Source organism: Homo sapiens, chromosome 5, assembly GCF_000001405.40.
Source record: "Homo sapiens chromosome 5, GRCh38.p14 Primary Assembly".
Classification (NCBI taxonomy): domain Eukaryota; kingdom Metazoa; phylum Chordata; class Mammalia; order Primates; family Hominidae; genus Homo; species Homo sapiens.
Genome location: NC_000005.10, coordinates 80,204,887 through 80,220,751, shown reverse-complemented (window position 1 = coordinate 80,220,751; position 15,865 = coordinate 80,204,887). Strand labels below are relative to the sequence as shown.

General features: G+C 44.1%; 1 protein-coding gene across 8 annotated transcripts in view; it reads left to right on the top strand.

Moving 5' to 3' along the window:
* Positions 1 to 15,865, top strand: part of SERINC5 (serine incorporator 5) — a 144,824-nt gene that overhangs the window by 35,297 nt on the left and 93,662 nt on the right. Inside the window, exon 2 of one of the 8 annotated variants that reach the window (XM_047417079.1) lies at positions 15,392 to 15,545. The exons of 6 other annotated variants lie outside the window; for them this stretch is intronic. The gene's annotated coding sequence lies outside the window, so the exon portion shown is untranslated. Of the gene's footprint in view, positions 1 to 9,120; positions 9,471 to 15,391; positions 15,546 to 15,865 lie in introns of those variants that run through there. One more of the 8 variants, XM_047417080.1, reaches the window with a different exon arrangement.

Sequence of the window (15,865 nt, the reverse complement as noted above, 5' to 3'; positions counted from 1 at the left end):
CCCCTCAGTTTCCTGTCTGGAGCCCTCAGATTCCTTTCTCTCCATGGAGGGCAGTGACTCAGAGGCGCCTACCTCAGAGGCGGCATCAATCAGGTGTGTCCTGGCCCCAAACTAGCTCTCCACTTGGGGCTCCCTGAGTGTTGAGGCCTTGGATTTCCTTGCAGGGGAAGGAAGGAGGGGTGAGAAAGATCCAGAATCTTCAAAGGAGCCTTCTTTGCCCAGTCCAACATCCACTCCACCCAGCTGACTGGAGAAATAAATGCTAGGTTTGACTGAACAAATAACAGTAATTAAGATCTGTTTCCTGAACAGCCTACCCCTTTGGCCTGTTTACTTTGCAGCCCAATAACAATTCATTCAGTCAGCCTGGCATTGAGGTCCATTGTGTATGATTTTGTTGCCGGAGTGCTAGTCTTCACAATCTAGGGCTGATAGAAGACTTCTGCCTTGTAATTTTAAAAAGTAGAGGGAACACCGCTGCCAATATGAGCAAGTTACTTGTTTCTATCTCTCTCTCTCTTTTTTTTTTTTATTTTTATTTATTGAGACAGAGTCTTGCTCTGTCGCCCAGGCTGGAGTATGGTGGCGCTGTCTGGGCTCACTGCAACCTCCGCCTCTGAGTTAAAGCGATTCTCCTGCCTTGCTCTCCTGAGTAGCTGGGATTACAGGCATGTGCCACCATACCCAGCTAGTTTTTTGTATTTTTAGTAGAGGCGGGGTTTGGCCATGTTGGCCAGGCTGGTCTTGAACTCCTGACCTCAGGTGATCCACCTGCCTCGGCCTCCAAAGTGCTGGGATTACAGGCGTGAGCCACCGCGCCTGGCCTGTGACTTGCTTCTATCTCTGTACTCCCGTACTTGGTTGTGTGTAGCCAATACCCTGAATGAAAAAAAACAAAAAGGTAAAGGTTGGCGGGTGGTGATGTAAGGTTATTTTCATTTCTGTTGATGATAGAAGAAATAAGTATAAGCACCTTCATTTGGCCCTGGTTCCTTTTGCAAATGTATTTTAAGAACATAAACAGGAGTTTCTCAAGCTGGGGGCGAAGGGGTAATTGCATGACAGTTCTCTGCCAGTTGGTGCCATCGAGGCAGCTGGTGCTTGAATGCAGGCATCCTCACAAAGGCTGTCTAGGGCTTTGTGCCAGCTTGCCTTGGAATGAGGACCTGCTCCAGAAGTGGGTGGAGGGGTGCTGATAAAACCCACTGGGCATCTGGCAGTGCTTGCTTGAAAAGGCAATGAACAGCGGCTATTTGTTTGGGGGAAAGGCACACACCTATTCGTTCCTTCCACTTCAAGCTAGAAGTGGAAGAAGAAGATGAATTTCAAGGGTGAAAAGAGGGAAGAGCTGGAAAGAAGGTTTCCTGAAGTTTGAGGGATGATGAAGGCTAAAGTTAACTGTGAGAAAAAGTGTTTTCTCAGCTGTAGGAAAACAGTGCAGCTGTTACTCCAAGAAAAAAGCTGTTAAACCAGGACTTTCATGGCACTACCAGGCATCCAGAACATGGGGTGGGCTAGAGGAGTGAGGGCGACCCTGTAGGAGGGACATGCGTCTTGAGAGGTTAGTGTGGGCCCATGCCTCCCTTTCCCCTTCCCCTGATCTTGCCTCTGAGCACTGGTACTATCCAGGTACAGCTGTGGTTTTCCAAACCAGAGGCCTGTTGTCTGACATTTTGTTTTCTAATTTATGTATTTATGTGAAAAATATTAGAAAGACTTGAAATAATCATCTTTTATTGGACACTGAATCCTAAAGAACAGGATTTTATGGGATCTAGGGTAGGTGAAGCGTGCAAGTTTTTCCTTGTTCAGAGCCCTTGTTGCTAGACTAACCACCTTGAAAGAGAAACATATTGTTACTGGGCAGTGGAATGGGTCAGAGGTGTTCTTTTGAGCAGTGAGCCCTTTCTGTGATGTGGTTTGTGGGGAGAGCGGCCAGTGGTTGAATCTGCACGTGGGGTGATTTAGTCGGGGCTGTCAGCTTCTCAGAAGCGCAGGAAGGGAGGTAGTCGGGGGTGGGCATTACCATAGCACAGCCTGTAGCTGTTCAAGAGCACCAGACTTTTTTTTTTTTTTTTGAGACAGAGTCTTGCTCTGTCACCAGGCTGGAGTGCAATGGCGTGATCTCGGCTCACTGCAACCTCCGACTCCCTGGTTCAAGTGATTCTCCTGCCTCAGCCTCCCAAGTAGCTGGGATTACAGGCACGTGCCACCATGGAGTTTCACTCTTGTTGCCCAGGCTGGAGTGCAATAATGCAATCTTGGCTCACTGCAACCTCTGCCTCCCGGGTTCAAGTGATTCTCCTACCTCAGCCTCTCATGTAGCTGGGATTACGGGCATGTGCCATCATGCCTGGCTAATTTTGTATTTTTAGTAGAGATGGGGTTTCTTCATATTGGTCAGGCTCGTCTAGAACTTCCGACCTCAGGTGATCCGCCCACCTTGGCCTCCCAAACTGCTGGGATTACAGGCGTGAGCCACTGCGCCCAGCCAGGAACACCGGTTTTGTGGCCACCCCAGGGTTAATGCGACACATGCTGGCTTTTCGTTTTAACTGTCATGAGGGAAACCTTTCAAAATGTATTAGACTCTGAGACACTTGAAACTGCCTTCTTCCTAGGATCAGCAGAGCATTTGTTTGTTTGTTTGTTTTTGAGATGGAGCAGAGCGTTTTTTAAAGCTACTAACGATGACTTCCTTTAGTTGTCTCAAGTGTCTGTTAGTATATTGCACAGTAGATACAGAAGTGTGGAACCCAGAGGATGAGTTACTAGCTCCTTCCTTTTCCAGACTGCTGAGTTGTTTGCACTGATGTGTTTTTTGATGCTCCACTGATGGTTGTCACTAGATTTGTCCTTGAGCCAAATCACCTAACCTTTCTGGGCCTCGGTTTTCACATCAGGAAAATAGGAGGACTGGACTAGATCAGGGACTTCCAGTGCAGGTTTTGGGATGTAGCCCTGTTTAGGTTGAATTTTCTGGATGCTGAGTTTGATTAAAAAATCCACTAAAATGTGAGTTTCCTGAGAGCAGGGACTATACTACCAACTCCTAGAACCAGTACCCAGTCACTAGTAAGCATTTAATAAATACTGTATGAATATAGAACTGCATTTTTGGTATTATACTGCATCCATATGTGTTACATATTGTGCATAGAATTTCGTTTGGTGGGGAGAAGAGCTCACTCGCCGCTAAACTCTTGAAGCTTCTGGTGCACTTGAGTTCTAAGGTCCTCTGCACTCCAGCTCTCTGAGAGCAGTGAAATGAGCTCCTTTCTGTTTCCATCCCCGAGCATACGGGCATCTAGCTGGCACTGGGGCCTGTCACCAGCCTAGAAAGCACTCCGTGGCTTGGCAGGGTTTGGGGATTGGGCTGGCACATAGCACCTCTTGGAAAGGGCTTGGCAGGTTTCTCCCTTGCAGCATAATCTCCATGACACAATGAGGCAAATTTTGGGTTTAGTGTTTCACTGGCTGCCGGTTGATAAGCTACTATTTATAAAGTAGAACGAGCAGGGTTTCTGCCCACCTTCTTTTTTGCTGAGACTATTTAAAATTAACTATTTTATAAATTAAAAATAAAACTTTTAAATAAACTTATTTTAATTAAAAATTTGTAAAATAAAAATATCAAAATAAAAAAATTAAAATTAAAAATTAAGAATAAAAATGTAAACATCAAACTTACTTTATAAATGAAACGAGTTTTTACTGTATTTTATTTTATTTGTTTTTTTAGAGACAGAGTCTCACTCTGTTGCCCAGGCTGAAGTGCAGTGATGCAATCTCAGCTCAATGTAACCTCAATCTTCTGGGCTCAATCCATCCTCCTACCTCAGCCTTCCAAGTAGCCGGGACTACAGGCTTGTGTCACCATGCCTGGCTAATTTTTGTATTTTTTGTAGAGACAGTGTCTCACTATGTTACCCAGGCTGGTCTCAAACTCCTGGACTCAAGCGATCTACCCACCTCGGCCTCCCAAAGTGCTGGGATTACAGGCAGGAGCCACTGTGCCCAGCCCTAAAACTAATTAAAAAAAAATATTTAAAACCCAATGGGTACTTTTGTTTTCTCCCAGTCTCCTACACTTCTCCGTTTTGAGTTTCAAGGTTTCATTTTCTTATACCTTTTTCTTAATAGAACTTACTTAACTCACCTTTTCAGCCCTGTTCTGCCACAGGTATTTGTTGCCTCAGTGGGTGCCAGTGAATGTTCCCACAGCTCTTGTTTTTTCCTCAGTGGAAATGAAGGTGTAAAGACGGCTTTAGCTTTCCAACAAGTTTTCTCACACACATAAGTTGCCAGCATGCTCTCCTGTGTTCAGACTGAAGGTGGTGAACCCCACAGTCTGACTGTGGAGATGGCTCTTGCTTTTCACCCCTAACTCAGTGGCTCTTAACTGGGGAGCCATTGTCTGGAGACATTTCTGATCATCACGCCTTGCAGGGGAGAGGGGGAGTTGTGACTGGCATCTAGCGGGTAGAGGCAGGGAGGGGCGCTGCTGAACATCAGCATCCAGTGTACAGGTCAGCCCCCGACAAGAAAGAATTTTCTGGCCCCCAGTCAATAGTGTCGAGTGATAGAAACGCTGCTCTGAAGGACCTGCCCCTGAGGAACGTTTGTTTTCTGTTGAGCTGTCAGAAGGGATGTTGTTTACCCTCAACCTCAAACCTTATAGATCTCACCAACCTGCTAAAATGTATCAAGTGTGATATGATATTTTTAATTTTAAGGTAGAGAGAGGGTCCTGTGATGGAATGATTCAAATAATCCCACTGCTGTCTGAGAACAGAGGACTTGATAAACATTCTTCTGGTGCTGAAAGTAGCCCTAACCTCCTGAGAAAGAGACTCCAAAAAAGGGGAACATCTTTGTCCCAGACTCCACTGTAACCCCAAAGCTGACTGATGGCTTTGTATGCGTTCATAGCCTCTTCTTGCCCATTTCAGACTTGGTTCTGGTGGCTGGAGATACTAAGTTGACCCTTGACTGTTTGTTTCATGGAAATGTTCAACGTGGAAAATAACACCGCTCTAGTATGTTGAAACTTGTTTGAGAAACCACTTGCCAGAAACTCATCTCTCACAGTCCCCACAATACTGCTGCCACAGTTATGGGCATGATGATGAAAGCCTTGGCGCTTTAGAGGATTCTCTGAACTCAAAATAAAATTTAAGAAACCCAGATAAAGGAACTATAAGAGCATATTTCTAGTCTAGGCAGATATATAGCTTCTGTTTAACTTCTTGAACTTTTAGGTAGCCGTATTAATCTGTTCTTGCATTACTATAAAGAAATACCTGAGACTAGGTAATTTATAAAGAAAAGACCTTTAAATGGCTCACCATTCTGCAAGCTGTACAGGAAGCATAGCAGGTTCTGCTTTTGGGGAGGCCTCAGGAAGCTTCCAATCATGGCGGAAGACAAGGGAGGAGCAGGTGTCTTACATGGCAGGAGCAGGAGCAAGAGAGAGAGAGAGTGGGAGATATCCCACACTTCAGATGACCAGATCTCATGAGAACACACTCCCTGTTGTGAGAACAGTACCAAGTGGATGGTGGTAAACCATTCATCAGAAATCTTCCCCCATGATGCAGTCATCTGCCACCAGGCCCCATCTCCAACATTAGGGATTACAATTCAACATGAGCTTTGGGTGGGGACACAAATCCTAGCCATATCGATAGCTGTTTAATTTTTTTATTTTATTTTTAATTGCTTCAAATTCTACCAAGTATTGGTTTATTTACATCAGTTAAACTCTATAAAGTTTTACAAGGCTTAAGGAATTTTTTTTTTCTTGCGGGGTAAAAAATGCATACATAAAATTTACCATCTTAACTACTGTTTTGAGATGGAGTTTCAGTCTCGTTGCCCAGGCTGGAGTGCAATGGCATGATCTTGGCTCACTGCAACCTCTGCCTCCTGGGTTTAAGCAATTCTCCTGCCTCAGCCTCCCAAGTAGCTGGGATTACAGGCACATGCCACCACACCTGGCTAATTTTTGTATTTTTAGTAGAGACAGAGTTTCACCATGTTGGTCAGTCTGGTCTCCAACTCATAGCCTCAAGTGATCCGCCTGCCTTGGCCTCCCAAAGTGCTGGGATTACAGGCATGAGCCACTGCTCCTGACCCAACTATTTTCAAGTGTATAGTACAGGAGGTGTTTTTTTGTTCGTTTTTTTTTTGTTTTTTTAATGCCTCAATTATGGTGATAGTTCACTCTGGCTGTTTTCTTCCAATCACATTGAAGTAGGTTTGATTTACTCATTGTCTGATGCATTTAACAAATATTTGAGGGCTTACCACCTATGAGGTGGAACAGGAATGTTTTGTTTTCTTCCAAAATAGAAACCTGTAATGTTTTTCTAATTATAAGATGTATGCTTGTTGCAGAGAGTTCAGAAAATACAGAAGAGCATAGTCACTCATAATTCTACAACTCTGTTTACTACTGTTGATGTACTGATATATCCTTCTAGTTTGTTTTTTGTTGTTGTTAGTGCTGATCTATGTCTTGTTATATTTTTACCCAAAATGCTATCATACTCTACACTATTAATATTAACTATTTTCAGTTTATACAGTGTGGACGTCTTTCCATGGCCATAAATTTTTCTGTATAACCTATATAATCATTTCAGTGGGTGTATTATATTCTACAACATGAACCTTCTGTAATTTAACTGATCTTAAATCTAAATCTTTTTATTGGACATCTAGGTTTCTTCTCTTAAACCACATGTATTAGATGTGTAATAGATGTCATGTAGATAGTCATCTTATGTATATCTTTGTTTTCTTGCTTAGAGAGTGTAGAATCAAGGTCTCTTGTTTACTGCGGTATTCCCAGGAATTGACAAAGCACATAGCAGGTGTAGAGTATAGTATATATTAGTGAGTGAATGAATGGCCTGGTTATTTCCATAGAATTAGGAAATAGGGCTTTTAATATGGGGTAGGATTTGGTGAGGCAGGGAGCTTGGTGATTGCGGTGGTTGAGCTGCTTGGGGCAAGACACTAGAAGAAGCCATCCATGTTCACTGAGGCCAGAGTTTGCATGGGAGACAGGAAGGGGCACAGAAAGGGAAGTGACCTCTTCAGATACTTGCTGAATGCTTACTGTACACACAGGGGCAGGGAAGAAAAATTGCTTCCTTTTTCCAGTGTAGCCTGTCTCCCTCCTGTAGGAAACCGAGGTTTGAAGCCAGTTTCAGGCCAGTGTTACCTGTCTTGTTCATGCGCTTATGCCAGCAGTAAGTGGAGAAGAATGGCAAAGAGCCTACCACATTTAAATTAAGTCTAGTACTTGCGGGCTCTGTGACCTTAAGCTGCTGTTTAACCTCTCTGAGCCTTGGTCTCGTCTCTGTAAAATAGGGATGATTGTAACAGGTAATAATAATTGTTGTGCCTTGCAGAAAGTAAGAGATTAATAAGTGTTAACTATTGCTAACTAATATTATGATGGATTCAGTAAGCTTTAGCTTTCTTTTTTCTTTCTTTGAGATGCAGTCTTGCCCTGTTGCCCAGGCTGGAGTACAGTGGCGCGATCTCTGCTCACTGCAACCTCCGCCTCCTGGGTTCAAGCGATTCTCCTGCCTCAGCCTCCTGAGTAGCTGGGATTACAAGCACCCACCACCACATCCAGCTAATTTTTTGTATTTTTAGTAGAGACAGGGTTTCACCATGTTGTCCAGGCTGGTCTCAAACTCCTGACCTTGAGTGGTCTACCTGCCTCAGCCTCCCGAAGTGCTGGGATTACAGGTGTGAACCACTGTGCCTGGCTGATTCAGTAAGCTTTCATGGGTTGCCATGTATTCTTTTGTATGGGGGAAAGCCACTGTAAGCCCCAGATAAACCACATGTGTATGTGTTGAGTTTTCTAGAATACAACCATTTGTGAGTTAGGAACTACCTGCAGTTACACTGTTTGTTCAGTAAAACACTCCTTTATTGAGCAGAGGAATTTTTGTGCTCGTTCTTCTAGCTTTTAAGTTGCACCATGCCATTGCATAGCTATCAATAAAGGACAGTACCTGGCACTGTGGTGCCAAGAGGGAGGGTTTACCAACACCCCCCCCCCACCCCACCACTGCCCTTTTGTAGTGGGAAGAAAGGTCTGTCTAAGCTCAGTGGAAGCTATTTCTGAGCTTGAGATGGGAAGATTAAGCCACACAATGTTGGTTGTTGGGTCCAGAATTTCAATGAATGTTGCTCTCCAAAGTAGAGAAGTGTTCATTTCTTCTGCAGACCACAGTTGACTCAAAGGTAACCCTAAAGCTTCAAAAGAGAAGGAAGGGAAGGAGGCCCTCACACGGCATGGGCAGTATTATGTATTACTGAAAGGTGTGGAACTCTGTAGTTAAAAGATGCAGTGTTGTTTACTTGAATAAAAAACTTTGAACCCAGTTTTATGTTTTTAATGGATGTCTTCTATTACCTTGGTACTATAACCTCCCAGCATGCTCAGGAACACCTGAGTTCTAACAGCTTGGTCAGCTTCAGTATTTGAGGAACTTCCCCACTGTGCCCCATCCCACTGCCGTTTATTAAGGAACAGTATTATAATTTTTGTAGCTCACAGAAAACTTGATGTCTTTCCTTAGCTTTGGTAGGTCTCCTGTATTTCCAGAATTAGGAAAAGGGACTGAATGAAGGGTGGTGTCACACTTCCTTTTACGGTTTGGACTTAGTTTAGACACATGAAAGCCAACTTGGCTGTCCAGCCCCGTTGAGGAGCAAGTCCTTCAGAATAGTTGGTTTCCATATGGCCGAGGGGTTCATACTCCCCAAAACTCAAGCACTGAAGCTAAAAACTGTGACCCACATTTGGGATCATTCTTGTGACAGAACTGTTCTAAGCACTTATTTGCTTAGGATACTTCTTTCATTCCTAAGTGGAATGAAGGTAACAGAACATATGTGCTGCCTGGGCCATTGTCGTGAATATGAGTGATCACACTGCCGTGTGTGAGCTGTTACCATGCAGAACGTAGACCATGCAGCAATAGAGTGATGCTTACATGACCTGTGTGTAAGCTAAAGAAAAATCAGGCTTTCACATCAACTTAGTTTATTCAGAAGTCTTGCTGAAGCTTGCAACCTGTTAGTCTTTTCAGAGAGTTTCTGTTAGACTGCTCCAAGGCAGAGTTTCAGCCCGCAGTTTATAGACAGGTGATGGCGGCTCTTCCAGTGCTCAGAAGTTACAACAGATGTGCTCGAAGTTAGATTAGAGCAAGATCTCATCAAGGTTTGGGCACAGGAGTTCATGTGGTTATAGATGATAGAGGCATAGTCATTAATCCTGTCAGACATGTACAGAAAGAGGCAAGGGTTAGGGTCATTGAACTTAACCTGATTCAGGCAAGAGACTCGGGAACCTGTGCTGTGTGCTGCTGATCATCTTCAGGGCATTCTTCTGGAGGGCTGCACTCGGTCAGAGTCAGGGGCTTTGTGGAATCCTGCTGGTAAGGGATTTTGTAAAATTCTGCAGGCAGCAGAAAAGCAAACGTGGCTTCTTACATTTGCCATTTTGTCTCACGTGTGCTTGAAGAGCTTACCGCTGCTCCACTTTTTAGTTCTGGCTTCTCCTTTTGGTTGCTTTTCTCTCCTCCTTGCTCTGGGGTTAACTCATCATGCTTGCCTGTTGCAGTTTGTTTTTCAACATCTAAGAAGTTATGGATGCTAAGGATATCCAGTTACCTCTTGCAGGGTTGACAGGAGTGTGGTGTGATGCCACCATGCTCTCTTTCCATGCCTGTGGCAGATGGTACTCAGTGATCATTGCACTTTCCCTGCTGAGACATTCAGCCTTAAGAATCCTCCTCAGCACAGAGTTTCAGGCAGCCGCTGCCCATCCGTTGGATGTGAGATGAAACCTGTTGATCTACCACCCGTCATCTACCTGGGCTTCTTCGACTTACAAGTGATGACAACTAAGACCCAGAAGGGCAGGTCACTTCGCTAGAGTTGAGTCCAGGTTCTCTGGTTCTCCCCAGCAGTTTGTCCTCTTGGTTGCTGTGGCTTAAGAACCTGGTAGTCAGGCCTTTGGAACTGTGAAAGTAAGACGTGAGAGAGGGAGACAGAGACCCTTTTATGATTAAGGTACATGTGTTGTGTGTGTGTGCATGCCGATTTTGTAATATGTTTGGCCTTCTTGTTGCCAGCTGGAAATTCTAGGTAATGAAGGTATTGTGCTTTTTAATTTAACAGAAGTAGTACTTGGAAGTTACTACCAGCCCTAGCTCATGTTTCTGTGAGCATTTCCTCACACACCTAGATCAATCCTTGGAAGGACCATCTGTGCCCAAGGCTGGTGCGGAGGACAGAGAGGGAGACATATTTATTTTTTGTAGAATGTGTGTGTGTTGCGGGGCTGGTCCTTCATTGGAGAAGAAAAATAACAGTAAGTGGGAGGCCCAGCTTCAGGTAAGATAAGCAAGAGTCAGCTTATCCTTTCATTTTGATTCTTTGCCCCGGCAAGGACAAAGCACCTCCTATTTAGAAAAGCCTTTGCCATTCCTGCGGTTGGAGGGAGGATGTGCCAGGCTCTTCGAAAGATTTTCCTTTGCAGTATGTTTGCGGGAGGGGAAGCTTCTTCAGAAGGGAAAAGCCCAACATACAGCAATACCACATTTGCAAATGCTTTTATATCACTATCGTTCAACTTAGTTGCTTTTATTTTATTTCTTTTTTGAGATAGGATCTCTGTGGCCTAGACCAGAGTGCAATGGTGCAATCTCTGCTCACTGCAGCCTCGACCCGTGGTCCCAGCTATTTGGGAGGCAATCCTCCTGCCTCAGCCTCCCAAGTAGCTGGGACCACCGGCATGCACCACCATGCCTGGCTAATTTTTGTATGTTTTGTAGAGATGGGGTTTTGCCATGTTACCCCGGCTGGGCTGAAAATCCTGAGCTCAAATGATCCGCCTACCCAGTGCTGGGTGCCTCCCAAAGTGCTGGGATTACAGGCATGAGCCACCACGCGCCGTTTACTTTTCTCAAGTAGTCAGTTTTCTTCATTTTTTAACTGTAAGAGTAATGCATGCACATGGTAAAAACCCAACCAGGAGAGCAGAACAATAAGTATCATAGATGTCCCCTGTTCTTCCCCACATCTAGGCCTGTTCCTCGGGTAGTCAGTGTTAGTGGTCTTGTATCTACACATATGTGTATGTACATAGATATGAAATAGCAGGGCGTACTGCCTGTGTTAGTTGGCTAGGGCCACCATAACAAAGTCACACTGACTGGGTGGCTTACCCAACAGAAATTCAGCTTCTCACTTGTGAAGGCCAGAAGTCCAAGAGCAAGGTGTGTGCAGGGTCACTTTCTTCTGAGGCCTCTCTCCTTGGCTTGTACATGGCCACCGTGTTGTTGTGCTGTCCCTGTGTGTGTGTCCTCCTCTTCTTAGAAGCAGTCCTGTTGGATTAGGGACCACCCCAGTGGTCGTATTTAACTTTTAAATACCTTTTTCGTTGAGACAGAGTCTGGCTCTGTCACCCAGGCTGGAGTGCAGTGGCGCGATCTCGGCTCACTGCAACCTCTGCCCCCCGGGTTCAAGCGATTCTCGTGCCTCAGACTCCTCAGAAGCTGGGACTGCAGGCATGTGCCACCATGCTTGGCTAATTTTTGTATTTTTAGTAGAGACGGGGTGTTGCCATGTTGGCCAGGTTGGCCAGGCTGGCCTCGAACTCCTGGCCTCAAGCAGTCTACTCGCTTTGGGAGTTGGGATTACATGCGTGATCCACCGCGCCTGGTCTAACCTTAATTACCTTTTTAAAGGCCCTATCTGCAAATACAGTCACTTTCTGAGGTACTAGGGTTTAGTACTTCAACATATGAATTTTGGGGGACACAATTTAGCCCAACACACCTGACGTATTAACAAATATTTCATTGTATAGGTCGTAATTCATTTTACTAGTCCCTGGGTAGCTGGAAAATAAGGCTGTTTCTAGTGTTTGTTATGAACAGCCTCATACCTAAATCTCTGTGTCTTTTTGGAAATGTATCTGTGAGAGGAGTTTCTGGAAGGATTGCAAGCATTGCCCTCTGAAGATGTTGTTGGACTCCCTTTTGCGTGTGTGAATGTTACTTCCTTGGAGGAGGAGAGTATGCAGTATCTACAAATTAACACCCTTAGTATTCTCTGTGATTCAGTGCTTGCGTGGGAAATTGAGTATAGCATGCAATTGTGAACTTGTTCCCATGGAGGAGATTGCCAGCCACTGTGCGTGAGGAGTGTTGCCACTGTGACTTCACCATACATTATTCAGCCAACATCCATTTACTGAGTCGTTTGGGGGGGCAGGCACTGTTTTGTTCATTTATTTATTTATATTTTTAAAAAATAGGCTTAGGTTTTTTTTTTTTTTTAGAGCAGTTTTAGGTTCACAGCACAATTAAGAGGAAGATACAGAGAGTTCCCATATACCTCCCCTCCCCACTTGCACGGCCTCCCCCATTATCAGCTCCTCCCACCAGACTGGTACATTTGTTAGAATCGATGAACCTACCTTGACACATCACTACCACCTAAAGTCCATGGTTTACATTAGCATTCCCTCTTGGCGTTGTATATTCTATATTTATTTGTTTTTTATATGCTGTAACTTTTTCAGTAAAAGCTTTATGCCCTCTTGGAGCCAGGGGTAACGAAACCCTGGCACTTCTCTCCAAGCTTGTGAAAGCACCAGTAGTTCCAGCCAGGAATTGATTTTTCCAGTTTTGAAAGTGAGTGACATGCTCAGTGTCTTAACCCTGTAGGTGGCAGGGGCTGGATGTGAACCCATTTTATTCAAAGGTATGCTCCTCCAGAAACACGTGTTCAGTCAGCAGGGCTGTGAGATTTCCCTAGATGCTAACATAAATGTTTCTTTTACGGATGCTGTTTTGAATTTCCACCTGGTATATATATCAATGTGTAGCTTAAGATAATGTGCTCGAACCTTAATTATTAGCATAGTTTACTTTGATAAATCACTTTTGGGCTAGTAAGAAAGGCTAGTCCATTCTAATATTTGGAATGTGTGTGTATAGGTACACATACATATAGACACATATATATGTACATATGTATATTTGTAATACCATAGCACTGTATAGAGTAAGAGTGAAAATGAAATTTGGAAAATCAGATCCATACAATGGCATATGACTTTAATGACAGAATAGGGTTAAACCAATAGGGCTTTCTTTTTACATTTTCCACAATCATGTCCCTTCTGTTGCTATTTGTCTGCCTTTAGATGATCAGTTCCAATTAGGCTCACAGTGATGTTTGTATCTGTTTATTTTTCCCTCTGTGGAGATAATAGTAAGTTTAAATGTTGATTCAGCTGTGGGAATGTTTTATTGTGGGAGGCATTAACTGTTTCCAAAATACTTATTTTCCCAAATAGAATAAGTATTTTGTTGATCACATTTGAACTTGAAATACAGTGAGAGGTTGCTGGGCACCATGGCTTACACCTGTAATCCCAGCACTTTATGGGAGGCCGAGACGGCGGATTACAAGGTCAGGAGATTGAGACCATCCTGGCTAACACAGTGAAACCCCATTTCTACTAAAAATACAAAAAATTAGCCAGGCGTGGTGGCGGGCGCCTGTAGTCCCAGCTACTCGGGAGGCTGAGGCAGGAGAATGGTGTGAACCCAGGAGGCGGAGCTTGCAGTGAGCCAAGATCGTGCCACTGCACTCCAGCCTGGGCGACTGAGTGAGACTCCGTCTAAAAAATATATATATATATATAGTGAGAAGTTATCTAAGACCACAGGGTAACAGAGAGTTAGCAACCAGCCAGGCATGGTATCATGGTGTCCTGTGCTTGTAGTCCCAGCTAAGGCTGAGGCAGGAGCATTACTTGAGCCCAGGAGTTTGAGGCCAGTCTGTGTAACACAATGAAACTCTGTCTCTTAAAAAAAAAAAAAAAAAAAGCAATCAGTGAAGGAGGCAGTTAGGAAAGGGTTCAGGAGGCAGGACCCAGAGAAAAGCCAGCTAAAGCAGTGGGGAGGGGACAGTTGTATGTGTATGTGTTTAAAATTGGGGCATGTGAGTGGAAAGAGGTCAGTAAAATCAGAGATTGAGAACATCAGTGAAGGAATTGTAAAGGAAAGTGGCCCATAAAACACCCACACATGCAGTAATGTTAGGATACCACTTGTGTATTCTCTTATCTCAGCCCGAGTAGAATGTCTTCTTTTACAAAGCAGTGGCTTAGTTTTGTGAGTCAAGAAGAATCTGGAGGAAGCTGGCTTGGAAAATCGGACGTAAGATGGAGAGAGTTGGTTAGGAAAAATTTGTAGTGATGAAACAGTAGAGAATGACACAGGGCTCAAACAATGACAGTCTCATGAAGTAGATGAGATAACTAGGGAAATGACTGTGATTCCAAGATCTGTCATACCATTATGGTATGTTGTCTTACCCATATACCTGTGATCGTAGCTCATTGTAAGTGATGTTTATGGTGTAGCATTCTAATTGATGCTTGTTTTGAAGCCTTGCAGAGTCTCAAACTTCCTTCCAAATCATTATCAAAAGATTGAATTGTTGGGCTTTAGGTTTATATAGAGTATAGTGTTAATACATACAGATTTTATTGTAATCTGCAGTTTATGGTAATTTCTTGTAGCATTGCCCTGTTGGCTTAACAGGGACTCCTTTCTGGTGCCAGTTGTGTCTGATTAGGTTATCCAAGACACCATGTAGTACTTCTGCCACCCCCACTTTATAAACGAGAAGTCTTGAGGTTTTTTTTTTTTTTTTTTTTGTGCACCACCACACCCGGCTAATATTTTGTTTTTTGTTTTGTTTTGTTTTGTTTTGTTTTGTATTTAGTAGAGACGAGGTTTCACCATGTTGGCCAGGATGGTCATGGTCTTGATCTCCTGACCTCACGATCCGCCTGCCTTGGCCTCCTAAAGTGCTGGGATTACAGGTGTGAGCCACCGTGCCTGGCCAAGTCTTGAGTTTTTAAAGGATAAATAACTTGCTTGTAGTTCACAGCTAGTAGGTGGCAAAGCCAGGCCACAAACCCAGCCAAGCTTTGAGCCTGAGCTTTTAATCACCATCCTCTATTACCTTATGGTTTATTAAAGATCCCAAAGAAAAGATGTGTATGCTGTTAGTGGTATAGCAGGAGCTCTGTGCTCCTCTGGGCCCACGTCCTACTCATTAACCCAAAAAGCTTACCATTTGGGACATGAAACTCTGGTAGAAATGCAGTGTAAAAGGCACCCATTTCTTTTGAGCTTCAAGTTACATACTCTCATTATTTCCTACAAGGGTGTATGGCTGCAGGCCTTTCCCATCCCAGCACCCTGGGTGCTTGTACATTCATCCTTAGGCTCATGGATTTTGACAGGTTCCTTTTGAAACCGTCTAGGGTTGATGGTCATGTTGTCCGAGGTGTTATCCAAGTCCGTTGTCTCACGACCAAGAAAAGTAAGGATTAATATGAACACAAGGGTGAAGTTGGAGTGAACGAAGAAAGCTCTGTGCAATGGAAAGGAGGACCTGAGTGAGTCGCTGTTTTTACAGTTGAGTCTGAAAGCTTTTATGAGAAACTCCCCTCATCTCTGTAGCTGTTTGCCTAAGTTCCCTTATCTGTGCAGCTGTCTGTGTAACTCTCCTTATCAGTGCAGACACGGGCATGTGTTGGGTAAACACAAAGTGCAGCTCCTCATTTGTGTAACTGTGTTTTAGGTAAGCCTCCCCCAGCACCTCCCCACTCCCTGTGCAAGTTCCCACGGAGCCCACCGTGTATGTGCCTGAGAAGGAGAGGAAACTTTTCCCTGGGAGCCTGCTAATCACACAAAGAACAAAAGGCTTCTATGCTGGGCCCTGCTTTCTTATCAGT